The sequence below is a fragment of the Homo sapiens genome, chromosome 1 (assembly GCF_000001405.40).
Source record: "Homo sapiens chromosome 1, GRCh38.p14 Primary Assembly".
Taxonomy (NCBI): Eukaryota; Metazoa; Chordata; class Mammalia; order Primates; family Hominidae; genus Homo; species Homo sapiens.
Window position 1 is genome coordinate 8,753,718 of NC_000001.11, and position 14,248 is coordinate 8,767,965.

At 39.8% G+C, this 14,248-nt stretch overlaps 1 protein-coding gene across 2 annotated transcripts in view, besides 1 other annotated feature; it reads right to left on the reverse strand.

Moving 5' to 3' along the window:
- RERE (arginine-glutamic acid dipeptide repeats) overlaps window positions 1-14,248 on the reverse strand; it is a 465,237-nt gene that overhangs the window by 401,314 nt on the left and 49,675 nt on the right. The window lies entirely within an intron of this gene.
- Window positions 10,354-10,403: an enhancer, noted in NCBI's record as "active region_110". NCBI's record gives its function as "activates an Ori minimal core promoter by ATAC-STARR-seq in GM12878 lymphoblastoid cells {active_cell/tissue: GM12878}" and the evidence as "EXISTENCE:reporter gene assay evidence [ECO:0000049][PMID:35858748]".

Here is a 14,248-nt window from a genome sequence, read left to right on the forward strand (position 1 = left end):
TATAAATACCTGGGATAAATTACTTATACCATGAAAAAGCATACCTCTTGATTCTCTGGCTGCTAAATAAGACCCAAAGTATGTAAAGGACACACATTTGAAAGACCCAGCATTAAACATTTGGGCTCCACTGTATGTAGGTCCCACATTCATAGGCTGGCAAATCTTTAACTCTACTGGGTCCTCATGCATAATGCACAGGGCAATTTGTCTGTTTGTGCAAATGGGCCAGTTTTTTTCCATGCTTTTTCAGATGTGTCAAATGTGTCAAAACTGAACATAATCATATACCCCTAATTCTGGCTTTACAAAGCAGACCCTACCTTCACCCAGCTTGATGTTTTTATTAAGGAGTTACTGAATATATTTAATCAAGGTATTACTGCACATCATGATGTCTTGTAAAGGTTGAAATCCCTGAGAGAATATGTTTGGTTTTAAGCCCTAATATGTGTTAGGGAGTGTTTCATTTTTCTCTCCCACTCCCAATTCCTTTTTTTTTTTTTCTCCTTTTTTAATCAGCAGCATCGACAGTACTGACTGAATATTTTACAATGGAGTTGCAGAGTATGTGTGTTCAATCGTTTCAGCTTCCCAGAAGATTCATTACAGTTACATTAGAAAGTCAAATCAGGCAATTCTGCAGTCTGGTGAAAGCCAGCATATGAAAGAAGGTTAATACAAAAGAATTTCATTTTAGAGGACATTTAGGACTTTAAAAAGCAACATTATGATAAAATTTTCAAGATATTTGTTCTTGCCTTAGCACATGCTTTCCAGGTCTAATTTCAGAGCTGTCTCAATGCTTTTCTAGGAAAGAATGAGGGTGTATGGGAGGAAATTGTTTGATCTACAAGGTCTGCCATCTTAATGATCCTCATGCTAAGAACACTGCAGATGTATGTTTTGCCCTCACTCATGGGGAAAGAATCTATGGTTCTCCAATTATGCTGATGAAGTAGAAGTCAAGTAAAAGTGAAGGTGCGTTCATTTAAAACATAAAGATTTTCAGTGACTGTTAACATCTGTCTTTCTGATTATAAATAAAACTAACTGCTGAGATTTTCAGATCTTAATATGTATTTATATAACAAAAACCAGTAAGTTAATTGTTTTCCATGATTAGTAGCAGGTATAGAAAGATCTTCTTCAGATTGGTACATGTTTAACTGGCACTTGTGTATAATATAGTAATTCCCCTCTTTCTAGAATTCAAGCCTCAATAAACCCCTAACTAATCTTATGTATTTATTTCCACTGGTTTATAGGTAAGCAAAAATAAGAATAGACTATCTACTGAAAGGCAAGCCTTGTCATTCAGTACAGTCGATTTACAGAATACAAATTCCAATTCAATACAAAGGCTCACCTTTGCATGAGCAATTCCAAAGCTTAAATACCATGGCAAGAGGGAAACAGCAGCTAGCAGTGGTAACAGACATAAAAGGCGGCTGACTGTCTTCAGTGCTACCTTTGGCAGCAGTACAGATGGACTTTGTAGGCCACTGGCTATGCTTAATTTAATATGAAGCTAAATACAGTCAAAACATCTGGTGCACCACTGATGGTTATCATGATAAATTAAATCTGGCATCACACACAAATCCATTCAATATTCTGTTTATATCCCTTTTACCTAAACCACAAAACTAAAAATCCACATTTACTTTTGTTTTTCATTTCCTCTTAGCAGTCCTGTATTTTAGAAAAGGAACGTTTTGTAGATCTGTTGTTTATACAAGTTGGGGGGCCTTCTTTAAGAAAAAGACCACGAAAATTTGTATACAAAATGTCAAGAGGGCCACTCAAGTGAGGGTCTCTTTGGTTTAAGCTTCATGGACAATCCACCTCTGGGGAGGTTGAAAGGCAGTGTAAAAACTAAATAGTATGCCAAGTAGCACATGGAACTGGGACAAAGAATACAAAAATTTTTAAAGCAGACAATTTAACTGACAAGCTACAGAAGAGCAAACAAGACTTTCTAGGCAAGCAAATCGGCAAAAACAAACTGTATTGTCAGAATCTGTTTTTAACATATATTTCTAAAATGCAAAACCCCAAATTGGGCCAGGTGCAGTGGCTCACACCTATAAATCCAGCACTTTGGGAGGCCAAGGCAAGAGAATCACTTGAGCCCAGGAGTTTGAGACCAGCCCGGGCAATATAGTGAGACTCCGTCTCCACAAAAAATAAAAATTAAATTAAATTGAAATTTTAAAACCCCAAATCTACAGCATACTACCACAACAAAAGGGCTATTATAAAGGAAAAAAGTCAATTAAAGAACCAAATTATCAGTCAAGTGTGGTGGCTATAGCTGTAATCCCAGCACTTTGAGAGGCCAATGCAGAGGGATTGTTTGAGCCTAGAAGTTCAAGACCAGCTTGGGCAACATAGCGAGACCCCATCTCCACTAAACATTTTTAAAAATTTAAAAATAAAGTAAAAAATAATCAAATTGTCAATTTTATAATAACTATAGGTCAAGAAACAAGTATAATTCTTACAAGCAACTAATTCACAAAACAATTAGATCATGGCTAACCATTTGTTATTTTTAAAAAGTCAGAGCACCACTTATAACTAAAGTGACTACTGCCTGAACTGCAATATTCAAATTATTGCATTTTTATTACATTGCTTTGAAGGATATTCAGTGAAGATAATTATTAATTCTAGTGCTATATAATATTAGCATCACCCACACTCTTTTAAACAAAAAGGACCTAAAAGCCTCGACTCTGCATCTGAAGGGAGGAGAGCATGCCATATAATAAATTCAGTACAATCAAAATGAGAACCATATTTCTGTTTAACTTTATGCATCTTGGCTCAAGAGCCATAAAAAAAAAGTTATTAAAATTAATGCATCAAACTATAATTCTGTCCTTTTTATTACTGGTAATATTCTTTCTAAAATATTAGTCTGCTTTGCTGTACTACTATATCTTTTTGAAAGTTTTCTTTGAAGATCAGGATCACTTTAACTTTAGAATGAAAACATGCAATTATATTAATTTGGCACTGAATCTTGTTAGTTTCAGTGGGTTTGAAACTTTGAAAATGATTTATTCATTAGAAAGCCACATGTTGGCCAGACATGGTGGCTCACACCTGTAATCCCAGCACTTTGGGAGGCTGAGGTAGGTGGATCACCTGACGTCAGGAGTTTGACACCAGCCTGACCAACATGGTGAAACCCTGTCTCTACTAAATACAAAAAATTAGTCAGGCATGGTAGTGCATGCCTGTAATCCCAGCTACTTGGGAGGTGAGGCAGGAGAATCACTTGAACCCAGGAGGTGGAGGTGGCATTGAGCCGAGATTGTGCCATTGCACTCCAACCTGGGCAACAAGAGCAAAACTCCATCTCAAAAAAAAAAAAAAAAAAAAAGCAAACCAGTTACTGCTTCTGATGGCACTCATAAAGATGGAAGATAATGAAGCTACTTGTCATTCAACACAAAACACACAAAGAAAGTGTTAACAGCTGGCAAATGTCACAAAGTAAACATTTTCCTATTTCTGTTAAATAAAATTCATTCCTAATAATCACTGTCCTGTATGAACTTTCCCTAGCAAATTACTGCCCCATTTCTTTCACTAAATAATCAATTTTTTCTAAAGTTAACACAAAAGAAATACCCTGGAAATCCTCATTCTCTAGTCATGACTAAATGAATGAACCACATGGGCTACCAAAATCAAATTCTCTACTGCATCACTAATGTAATACTAAATAGGATGCTCCATCAAAAGAGACCTAGAATTTACATAATTTCCCATAAACTTATCAGAGGAACAAATGTAAGACAATGGGAAGAAAATCAAGATAAGCTCACTGTTGTTGCTGGTTTGTGTATTCCTGTCTTTCTCAACTCCTCCCACAGCTGATAGAACATTGTAGTTAAGAGAGCTGGTAGAAACTACTTCACTAAAATTATGTATTTGAACATCAGCCTTTTTTCATTCTAGTCAGCCTTTTTTCACTCTAAAGTATTAAATTCAACCAAAAAGCCAAACATTCAAAGTCTGTTCACCAAAAACACTCATCATAAAGATGTTTATTTACTATCCATATAAGGACGCAAAATGGTATTCCTAACAGCCAATACACAGAATCAACCTAAGTGTCCATCAACAGATGAATGGATAAAGTCACATACATATGTATACACACACACACACATACATACACACACACACACACACATATATATGCAATAGGATACTATGTGTTCTAAGAAAATTCTGTTACTTGCAACAATATGGATGAACCTGGAGGATACTATGTTAAGTGAAATAAGTCAGACATAGAAAGACAGATACTGTATGATCCCACGTATATGCAGAATCCTAAAACGTCAAGTTCAATTTTTTTTTTTTTAGAAAGAATCTCGCTCTGTCACCCAGGCTGGAGTGCAGTGGCATGATCCCAGCTCACTGCAACCTCCACCTCCCAGGTTCAAGCAATTCTCCTGCCTGAGTCTCTCGAGTAGCTGGGATTACAGGCCTGCGCCACCATGCCCGGCAAATTTTAGTATTTTTTAGTAGAGGTGTTTCACCATGTTGGCCAGGCTGGTCTCGATCTCCTGACCTCCTGATCCACCCACCCAGCCACCCAAAGTGCTGGGAACACACGTGTGAGCCACCGTGCCTGGCCCTCAATCTTTTTTTTTTTTTTTTTTTAAAGAAACGGGGTTTCACTCTGTTGCCCAAGCTGGAGTGCAGCGGCACAATCATAACTCACTGTAACCTCAAATTCCTGGGTGCAAGCAATCCTCCTGCCTCAGCCTCCTAAGTAGCTGGGACTACAGGTGTGCGCCACCACACCTAGCTAACTTTTTATTTTTATTTTTTGTAGTGACGAGGTCTCGCCAAGCTGGTCTCGAATTCCTAGGATCAAGGGGTCCTCCTGCCTCATCAACCTTTTTTTTGAAGCTGAAGTAGAAGCAAAGAGTAGAATGGTGGTTACCAAAGGCTGAGAGGAGGACTGGGGAAATGTGAGTCAAAGGACATAAAATTTCAGTGAGGAGGAATAAGTTCAAGAGATCAGCTTTATAATATAGTGACTATAATTAATAATAATGTATTATATTACTGAAAATTGCAAAGAAGAATTTAAGTGTCCTCACCACAAAAAAAAAAAATGTGAAGTAATACATATACTCATTTTAGCCATTCCACAATGTATATATATTTCAAACCATCATGGTATACACAATAAATGTGTACAATTTTTGTCAATTTAAAAAATGGGATTATTCTCTCACCTCAACATTGAGGTACTAACTAAAAAGATATTTCCCAACTACTCAGATGCTGAAGCCGGAGGATTGCTTAAGCCCAGGAGTTGGAGACCAGCCTGGGCAACACAGTGAGACTCCATCTTGAAAAAATAAATAAAAATAAAAAGATACTGTGATTGTCAAAGAAAGGAAAGAGGTATTAAGTCACTGAAAGGTTATATTTTTCCTTTAGAAAAATGAAAAATTCCTACTTTACTGTCAACTATTACCTCTTCTGACACATTAACTGTAGAATCCTTTTATATGAGAAAATTACTAAATCGGACACTACATCTCAGAATCTGCTAGAGGTCACTTGGAAAAGAGCATCATCCTTTCAAAAGGCAAGGATGAAGAATTAGAAAGAAAAAGGCCAGAAGCACACAAGTGAAACAAGCCAGTGCACCTGAGGCCTTTGTTGGTCCAATCAAACTATAGGTCACAGGTATTTCAAAAAGGGGAATAAAAGACAACTGCAGTTACTTTAGAAAAGGGTTAAATTCTCCAAAGTAGACGCTTCCCAAAAGAAAAAACAGAACGAAAACTGCAAAATTCTTTCTTCTCTCCTTTGGAGAATACGGTTTAGCACAGTTTTTAAAAAATCAAAATCTCAAGAGATATGGGTGCCATTCCCATCCCAATAACTAAGTGGCTCTGCTAACTGCAGGTTGTGTGAAACTGTACACCCACTACGCTCAATTGCAAAACAGCCATAAAGAACTTAGAACACTACACAAGTTCAACAGACATGAAGAAAAACACTACAAAATTCAAATGTGAGGGACAATTTTCCTGCCAATATACGTATAACTCTAAATTCTTACTCTCTCTATACACACACACACACACACACACACACACACACACACACAATATGTCTTGATGATCAGAGCTATTACACTGTATAAATCTAATTAAGGTCAGTTTCCTATATGGGAAAAGGAAGATTTATCTGAGAAATAATTCAAAATAAATTCTCCCCAAGTAAATAGACCTAGGCCTATCATTAGTTTAGTTTAGTTTTGTTTTGTTTTTTTGAGATGGAGTTTCACTCTTGTTGCCCAGGCTGGAGTGCAGTGGCGTAATCTCAGCTCACTGCAACCTCTGCCTCCCGGGTTCAAGCAATTCTCCTGCCTCAGCCTCCTGAGTAGCTGGGATTACAGGTGCCCGCCACCGCGCCCAGCTAATTTTTTGTATTTTCAGTAGAGACGGGGTTTCATCATGTTGGCCAGACTGGTCTTGAACTCCTGACCTCAGGTGATCCGCCCGCCTCGGCCTCCCAAAGTGCAGGGATTAGAGGCGTAAGCCACTGCGCCCAGCCCCTAGGCCTGTAATAGTTAAGACAATCATTTATACATCATTTATATCAATCACCACAGTCCACAAAAGTCAGCCTTAGATAAGATGCCAAAAATCGGAGATGAATTAAAAGAAAGAGTCCTGGGTCAGTAGTACAGCTTTGTTGCAAGTATCTGCAGGGACCTGGTAGAGGTGTGAGAGACACAGTTCCTTGGTGTGAAGGGTGAGAGGTCACAGGGAGGGTAGCAGGAAGCCCAAGAACAGGTAACTGAATTTGGACAGGCTTTTGATATTTTAAGCCCATTTCCATGGATTTTTGTTGTGTTTTGAAGATAGGGTCTCGCTCTGTCACCCAGGATGGTTTCTTAATATATTTACTATAATTATTCCCTTGGAATACTAATATTAATACTAAGTTAAATTCTTTGAAAATCCAGCCAGTGTCAGTTATGCTAAATGAAAACAAAACACTTTGTACAATTTTATATTTAAAAAGAGAAGCTCTACACTCTAGGATTAGAAGCAGTGGAGCCAGCAAGACTCTCAGGGCAACATTAGCTACCATTTATGGAGCACTTCTTATGTTCCATGTGCCAGGCTAAATTATTTTCATACATTATCCCACTAATGTATAAACAACCCTATCATTTAGCTATTATCAGCTCCATTATATAGACAAGGAAATGGAGGCACAAAGACGTTCCATAACTCTAACAGGATTACAGGACAGAGAGGTGGCAGAACAAGGATTCAAACCCAATCCTTCTGTTCTCAAGCTCAGACTCGGAACCATTATGCTTTACCGTCTTACCAAAATGAGAATCAAAATGAAAGAACCTCAAAGAGAAATAAAAACTCAAAGGAAGAATCTGAGTTCTTTAAACAACACCAGAGCAATCCTGTCCTAAAACTGGAGGATTTTCAGGTTTTGCAATGTGACAAACTTGGAAAAGATACATCTGACACTAAATCCTTTGGCAATTTTATTCCACCTCGGGGCTTCAACTACCCCATTCTCAGTATCTCCATCTTAACCTTGATGACTTCTCAAGATATTAAATATTTCCATCTGCCTAATGACAAAAATCACTCATCTCAATAAAAAGCTGTATTTATTAGCATCTTCTTCCTCAAATCAGTTTGTCCTCCTGTGTTCCCAATTTTTTAATGGCACAGGTGTAATGCAAATTACCTATGCTTCACACCTCCCCCACATGTAAGACTATATGCCTTGTTCTAACAGTTGCCAAATCCAACTAATTCTACCTCTACAACGTCTCCCATCTGTCATACCTCTTCATTTCCCCTACAGTTAGAAAGGTTAGATTCTCGGCCGGGCATGGTGGCTCATGCCTGTAATCCCAGCATTTTGGGAGGTCGAGGCAGGCAGATCACCTAAGGTCAGGAGTTCAAGACCAGCCTGACCAACATGGAGAAACTCCCCCGTCTCTACTAAAAATACAAAAAAATAGTCGGGCGTGGTGGTGCATGCCTGTAATCCCAGCTACTCGGAAGGCTGAGGCAGGAGACTCACTTAAACCCAAGAGGCGGAGGTTGCAGTGAGCCAAGATCACGCCATTGCACTCCAGACTGGGCAACAAGAGTGAAACTCTGTCTCAAAAAAAAGGAAAAGAAAAAAGAAAGGTTAGATTCTCATTACTTTCCACCCAGTCTTCACTCTCTTCCTTTCATGACATACTAGAAATAGCTATCCTAAAACACAACTCTATCATGTCACTCCTTTATCAGAACACCTTCAAAAAGGCTCCATTCCCCACCAATCAACCCTTCAAGATTCAGACCAAATGCCTCCTTCTCCAAGCAACCTTGTGTAATCTCCTTCCCCTAAGGAGAGGTCATTGCTTCCTCCTCTGAACTTCAGCAGTACCTCACTTGACCCTTACCAATTTCAGCCTCCTATCACAAGTACCTGTACTGACATACAAGCATCGTCACCCTACTGGAAGACAAGCGCCTTAGGAGAAGGTTCAATGTCTAATTGAACTGTGAGTCTCCCACAAATTCTGGTGAAAATATACTTGCACACAGTAGGTACTTAAATATTTGACAAATGAATGAAAAAATTACAAATCAGCTTTCTCGGTTATAACACAAGCTTTTCAGCACAAGAACTTGTGCCCATTTACTTAATTTTTTTAAAACATACAAATTGTGAAGACTAATCATAATTTCCATGAAACCAGCCCTTTTTGGTTCCTAGAATACCCGAGAAAGGTGCTTATTTTATTTGAAGACAAAAAAAGTAGCATCAGTTAGCTAGGTCAGGCACCATCTAACTCTACTATTCACTGAGGCCAGGAACATTTCCTAGGGCCTCAGCTTTGGTCCTTCTGGATGAAGCCTCAGGGGGACTTTCCTCTGATAATGGACTAAACGATTCAAGATGACCTTAATGACCACCCTGTTTAAAACAGCCTCCTTATTTCTCCAATACTTCTTCTCCAAACATTGATGTTTCCACCATAAGGTCAGCTCCTCTTTTTCTTCCCCTTATGGCAAGGCTTATGGAGAAACTACACCACATAAATGAAGACTAGGAGCTCAAAATTCCAGAATGACCTGGGACCATGGAAAATTAGTATTTTGCCTTCTACAGTAAAGTCACACTCTTGAGCAAAGGAGGAAAAAAAAATTATCACAGTCCCTCAATCAGCAAAAATCTAGGCATGGAAGACTAAAAGAAGTTAGGGTCCAGTAAGCTTAAAAAAGAAAACAGTGACTCAGAAATTTCCTATCTGCAATATATAGCAGGTTTAGAGGACGAAAATGAAAACAGAAGATTATTTCTAGACAGCTTGATGGAGAAAGATAATATTTACCTCAGTAAAGTTACAACCATAGGAACAAATCCAGATTCTATTTGTTTTTGTACAACTCTGCAAAAAATCATAGGGTGTAATTCACTTCTCAGTTCAGAAATAAGACGTCCTTAAAAAAATAAGTAAGAGGTACTTCTTGAAAACTAAAAGAAAAAAAATCTACTCCCATAATCAAGAGTTTCCATGCAGTATTAAAAATGATGTCCAGCTGGGCGCAGTGGCTCACACCTGTAATCCCAGCACTTCGGGAGACTGAGGCGCATGGATCATTTGAAATCAGGAGTTTGAGACCAGCCTGACCAACATAATGAAACCCCGTCTCAACTAAAAACACAAAAAAATCAGCCAGATGTGGAGGCGCACGCCTGTAATCCCAGCCACTCAGGAGGCTAAGGCAGGGGAATCACTTGACCCTGGGAGGCAGAGGTTGCAGTGAGGCAAGATCGAACCACTGCACTCCAACCTGGGCGACAGAGCTAGACTCCGTCTCAAAAAACAAACAAACAAAAAACAAGACCGGGCACGGTGGCTCATGCCTGTAATCCCAGCACTTTGGGAGGCCGAGGCAGGCGGATCACGAGGTCAGGAGATAGAGACCATCCTGGCCAACATGGTGAAGCCCCATCTCTACTAAAAGTACAAAAATTAGCCGGGTGTGGTGGCATGCGCACCTGTAGTCCCAACTACTCGGGAGGCCGAGGCAGGAGAATCACTTGAACCCAGAAAGCAGAGGTTGCAGTAAGCCGAGATCACGCCACTGCACTCCAGCCTGGCAACAGATCAAGACTCCGTCTAAAAAAAAAAAAAAAAAGTCCCTCCTATAATTCAGGAAGTGAAGGTGCTAGTTGACTGTTATTTATTCTCACTCAAAAAGCTAACTCAAGGTCAAGAAGACCTCTGCCACCAGCTGCAGTGTACCAATCCTAGGAGGCTATTTCTCAGAACCCCATGCTTCTTATCAAGATGGTTCCCACGCTGTCTTCCCTTTCCCTCATCACTGCCTCCTCCAGGTCAAAGAATATCCCCAGGGCAAGTTGCAGCTGCTCCTTATGCACTCAGCCCTGGCCTCAGAGTACACATGGGTTTTGCCTCATCTATGACTCTTGGGGGAAGCTTACTATGCAGAGAGCAACTGCAATGTGTCGCTCTCTATAGGATCCCAGCCAGGTGCCTTAGTGCCATCGGGAAAATGAGAGGAAACAAGGAACACACAAAAATCATGAAATACTGCTTCGGGTACTAACTCCAAGACAGAATTTTTTTCTTAAGTTAAATGTTTAAAAACAAAAAAAAGCTACAGTCATCTATGTATTCAGTCATCCAGTCAATCCCATGCCAAGTATAATCTCTGTTAACTATGCTTAGTGTGGTCAGAAAGGAAGTCTAGATAAACAATCACAACAACAGAGTGGGCTGAATGCAAACAGCCGGGGTTCAAGGAAGGCTCCCTGAAGAAAATTACCTGTAAACTGAAGCAAGCAAGAGGTGACCAGGCTAAGAAGAAAAGAATGTTCACCACACAGCCATTACTCAGGGACGTAATTCACCCAGATTTCTATTTTTAAAAGATCAAAGGCTCCAAAAAAGCAAAGGGCCAGTAAGCACAAGACAGAGGCTCAACCTCATTAGGGAAATGCAAATCAAAACTGTAAGATACCACTTCACACCCATCAGAATGGCTACAATCCAAAACCCAGATAGTAAGTATTAGTGCTAATGTGGAAAAACTGCAAGGTTCATGCATTGCTAGTAAAATTGTAACATGGTGTAGCCACTTTGGAAAACAGTTTGTCAGTTTCTCAAAATGTTAAACAGAGGTTCCATACCCCCCAAAAATTTCACTCTTAGGCTTTGGAAGTCACCCCAAGAGAAATGCAAATACACATCCTCACAGAAGTTTGTACATGAACGTTCACAACAGCATTTTTTTAACAGCCAAAAAGTAGAACCATTCAAAGTGTCCATCAACTAGTGAATAAATAAAATGTGGCATAGCCACACAATGGACTATGATTTGGCATTTATTGGGAATGAAGTACAGATGTTATGCTACCACATGGGTGAACCTTGAAAACATTATACTAAGTCAAAGCAGCCAGTTACAAAAGACTACATGATTCAATTAACGTGAAATGTCCAGAATAGGCAAATCCATAAAGACAGAAAGAAGATTAAGGGCTGCTTAGGGCTGGGGGATGAGTAGAGGAGGAAATGAGGAGTAACTGCTCATGGATACAGGATTTCTTCTGGGCATAATTAAATGTTCTGAAATTGCAGTGATGATTGCACAACTCTGTGAACACAAAAAACAATTGAATTGTACAATTTAAGTAGGTAAATTATATGATATGTGAATTGTATCTCAATAAAGCTGTTATAAAACCAAACAAAAGGCCGGATGCGGTGGCTCATGTCTGTAATACCAGCACTTTGGGAGGCTGAGGTGGATGGATCACCCGAGGTCAGGAGTTCAAAACCAGCCAGGTCAACCTGGTGAAACCCCATCTCTACTAAAAATACAAAATTATGCCAGGCGAGGTAGCTCATACCTGTAATCTCAGCACTTTGGGAGACCGAGGCAGGCGGATCACAAGGTCAGGAGATCGAGACCATCCTGGCCAACATGGTGAAACCCCGTCTCTACTAAAAATACAAAAATTAGTAGGACATGGTGGCACGTGCCTGCAATCCCGGCTACCCGGGAGGCTGAGGCAAGAGAATCGCTTGAACCAGGGAGTCGGAGGTTGCAGTGAGTCAAGATCGCACCACTGCACTCCAGCCTGGCGACAGAGCGAGACTCCGTCTCAAAAAAAAAAAAATTAGCCGAGTGTGCTGGTGCATGCCTGTAATCCTAGCTACTTGGGAGGCTGAGGCAGGAGAATCACTTGAACCTGGGAGGCAGAGGTTGCAGTGAGCTGAGATTGCAACACTGCACTCCAGCCTGGGCAACAATGAAACTGCATCTCAAAACAACAACAACAAAAAGAAAAAACAAACAAAAGATCAAAAGGACTACAGCAGTGAAGAACAAAATTTCTAATTTTGTTAGAAATTAGAGGATTTGAACATGCCAACTGGTTTGGAATCTATAAAGTAATTCAAGCAAGAGACAGTGGCCAGGTGCAGTGGCTCACGCCTATAATCCCCGCACTTGGGAGGCCAAGGCTGGCAGACCACTTGAGGTCGGGAGTTCAAGACCAGCCTGGCCAACATGGTGAAACCCCATCTCTACTAAAAATCAAAAAATTAGCTGGATGTAGTGGCACGCACCTATAATCCCAGCTACTCAGGAGGCTGACGTGGGAGAATCACTTGAACCCAGGAGGTGGAGGTTGCAGTCAGCCAAGAGCCAAGATTACACCACTGCCCTCCAGCCTAGGCAACACAGCAAGACTCCATTGCAAAAAAAAAAAAAAAAAGAAAAGAAAAAAAAGAGAGAGAGAGAGACAGTGGCCTGAACTAGCGTAATGGATTAGGAAGAGATAAGAGATACAGGAAAAAGAAACAATACTTGATTCTATATAGTGGGGAGAAGAGAAGGAATCAACACAGCCCAGGGTTACTTACTTAGAAAATTGAGTAGCATTTATCAAAACAGGAAAACACAGAAAGACATGTTTGGGAGCAGGAAAATTCACAATATTGTGAAATTTAATTATATTTACAAAAGTTATATAAGGACTTAGAGAAGGTTTTAAGAAGGTTTTGTTTTAAGGTTTTGTTGGAAGCTTTCTTGGGCATTTATCTAATTTTAAAATGCAATTTAATGTTAGTTATGTTTATAAGTAGAACTGGATATTTAAACAGAATTCAACTTGAATTAATCAACATGTATCAAAAACTGCATTATTTTTCTTTTACCTTTATATAAAATGTACTGAATTAATGAATAGACTAATATGATTTATAAACTGAACTCAAGGCTCAAGGAAAATTGGACTTTAAACTTTTTAACAATAAATTGACTATTCATTTTCTACACCAGAAACTGTAAGTAGTTGGGTATCACTGGCATGTAGCATTACTGGTTGAAAACCGAGAAGTTCTAATTTGATGGCTTCTATTTTCTCTGGAAATGAGGTCATCAATTCAGGAAATGGAACGGAAGGATGGGTGGTATGAGAAAGTAGACCAGGAATCCAAGGTTTGATACATAATTGAAATAAAAGCAATGGAGGCCAGGCACAGTGGCTCATGCCTGTAATCCCAATACTTTAGGAGTCTGGGGCAGGACAATTGCTTGAGCCAGAATTTGAGACCAGCCTGGGCAACATGGTGAAATCTCATCTCTACAAAAAGCAAGTCAAAATTAGCTGGGTGATGTGGTGCACATCTGTATTAATCCCAGCTACTTGGGAGGCCAAGGCAGGAGGATCACTTGAACCAGTAGGTGGAGGCTGCAGTAAACCAAGATTGCACCACTGCACTCCAACCTGGGCTGCAGAGTGAGGCCTTGTCTCAAAAAAAAAAAAAGAGAAAGAAAAAAAATGCTGCTTATCAAAAAGGATGGGATTTCTAAATAAAAAGCTTTCTTTATTAAAAAAAATTAAAAATAGCCTGTAATCCCAGCACTTTGGGAGGCCAAGGCAGGCGGATCACTTGAAGGTCAGGAGTTCAACACCAGCCTGGCCAACATGGTGAAACCTCATCTCTACTAAAAATAAAAACAAAATTAGCCAGGCATGGTGGTGCACGCCTGTAGTCCCAGCTACTTGGGAGGCTGAGGCAGGAGAATCACTTGAACCTAGGAGGCGGAGGTTGCAGGGAGCAGAGATCACACCACTGTACTCCAGCCTGGGTGACAGAGCGAAACTTTGTCTC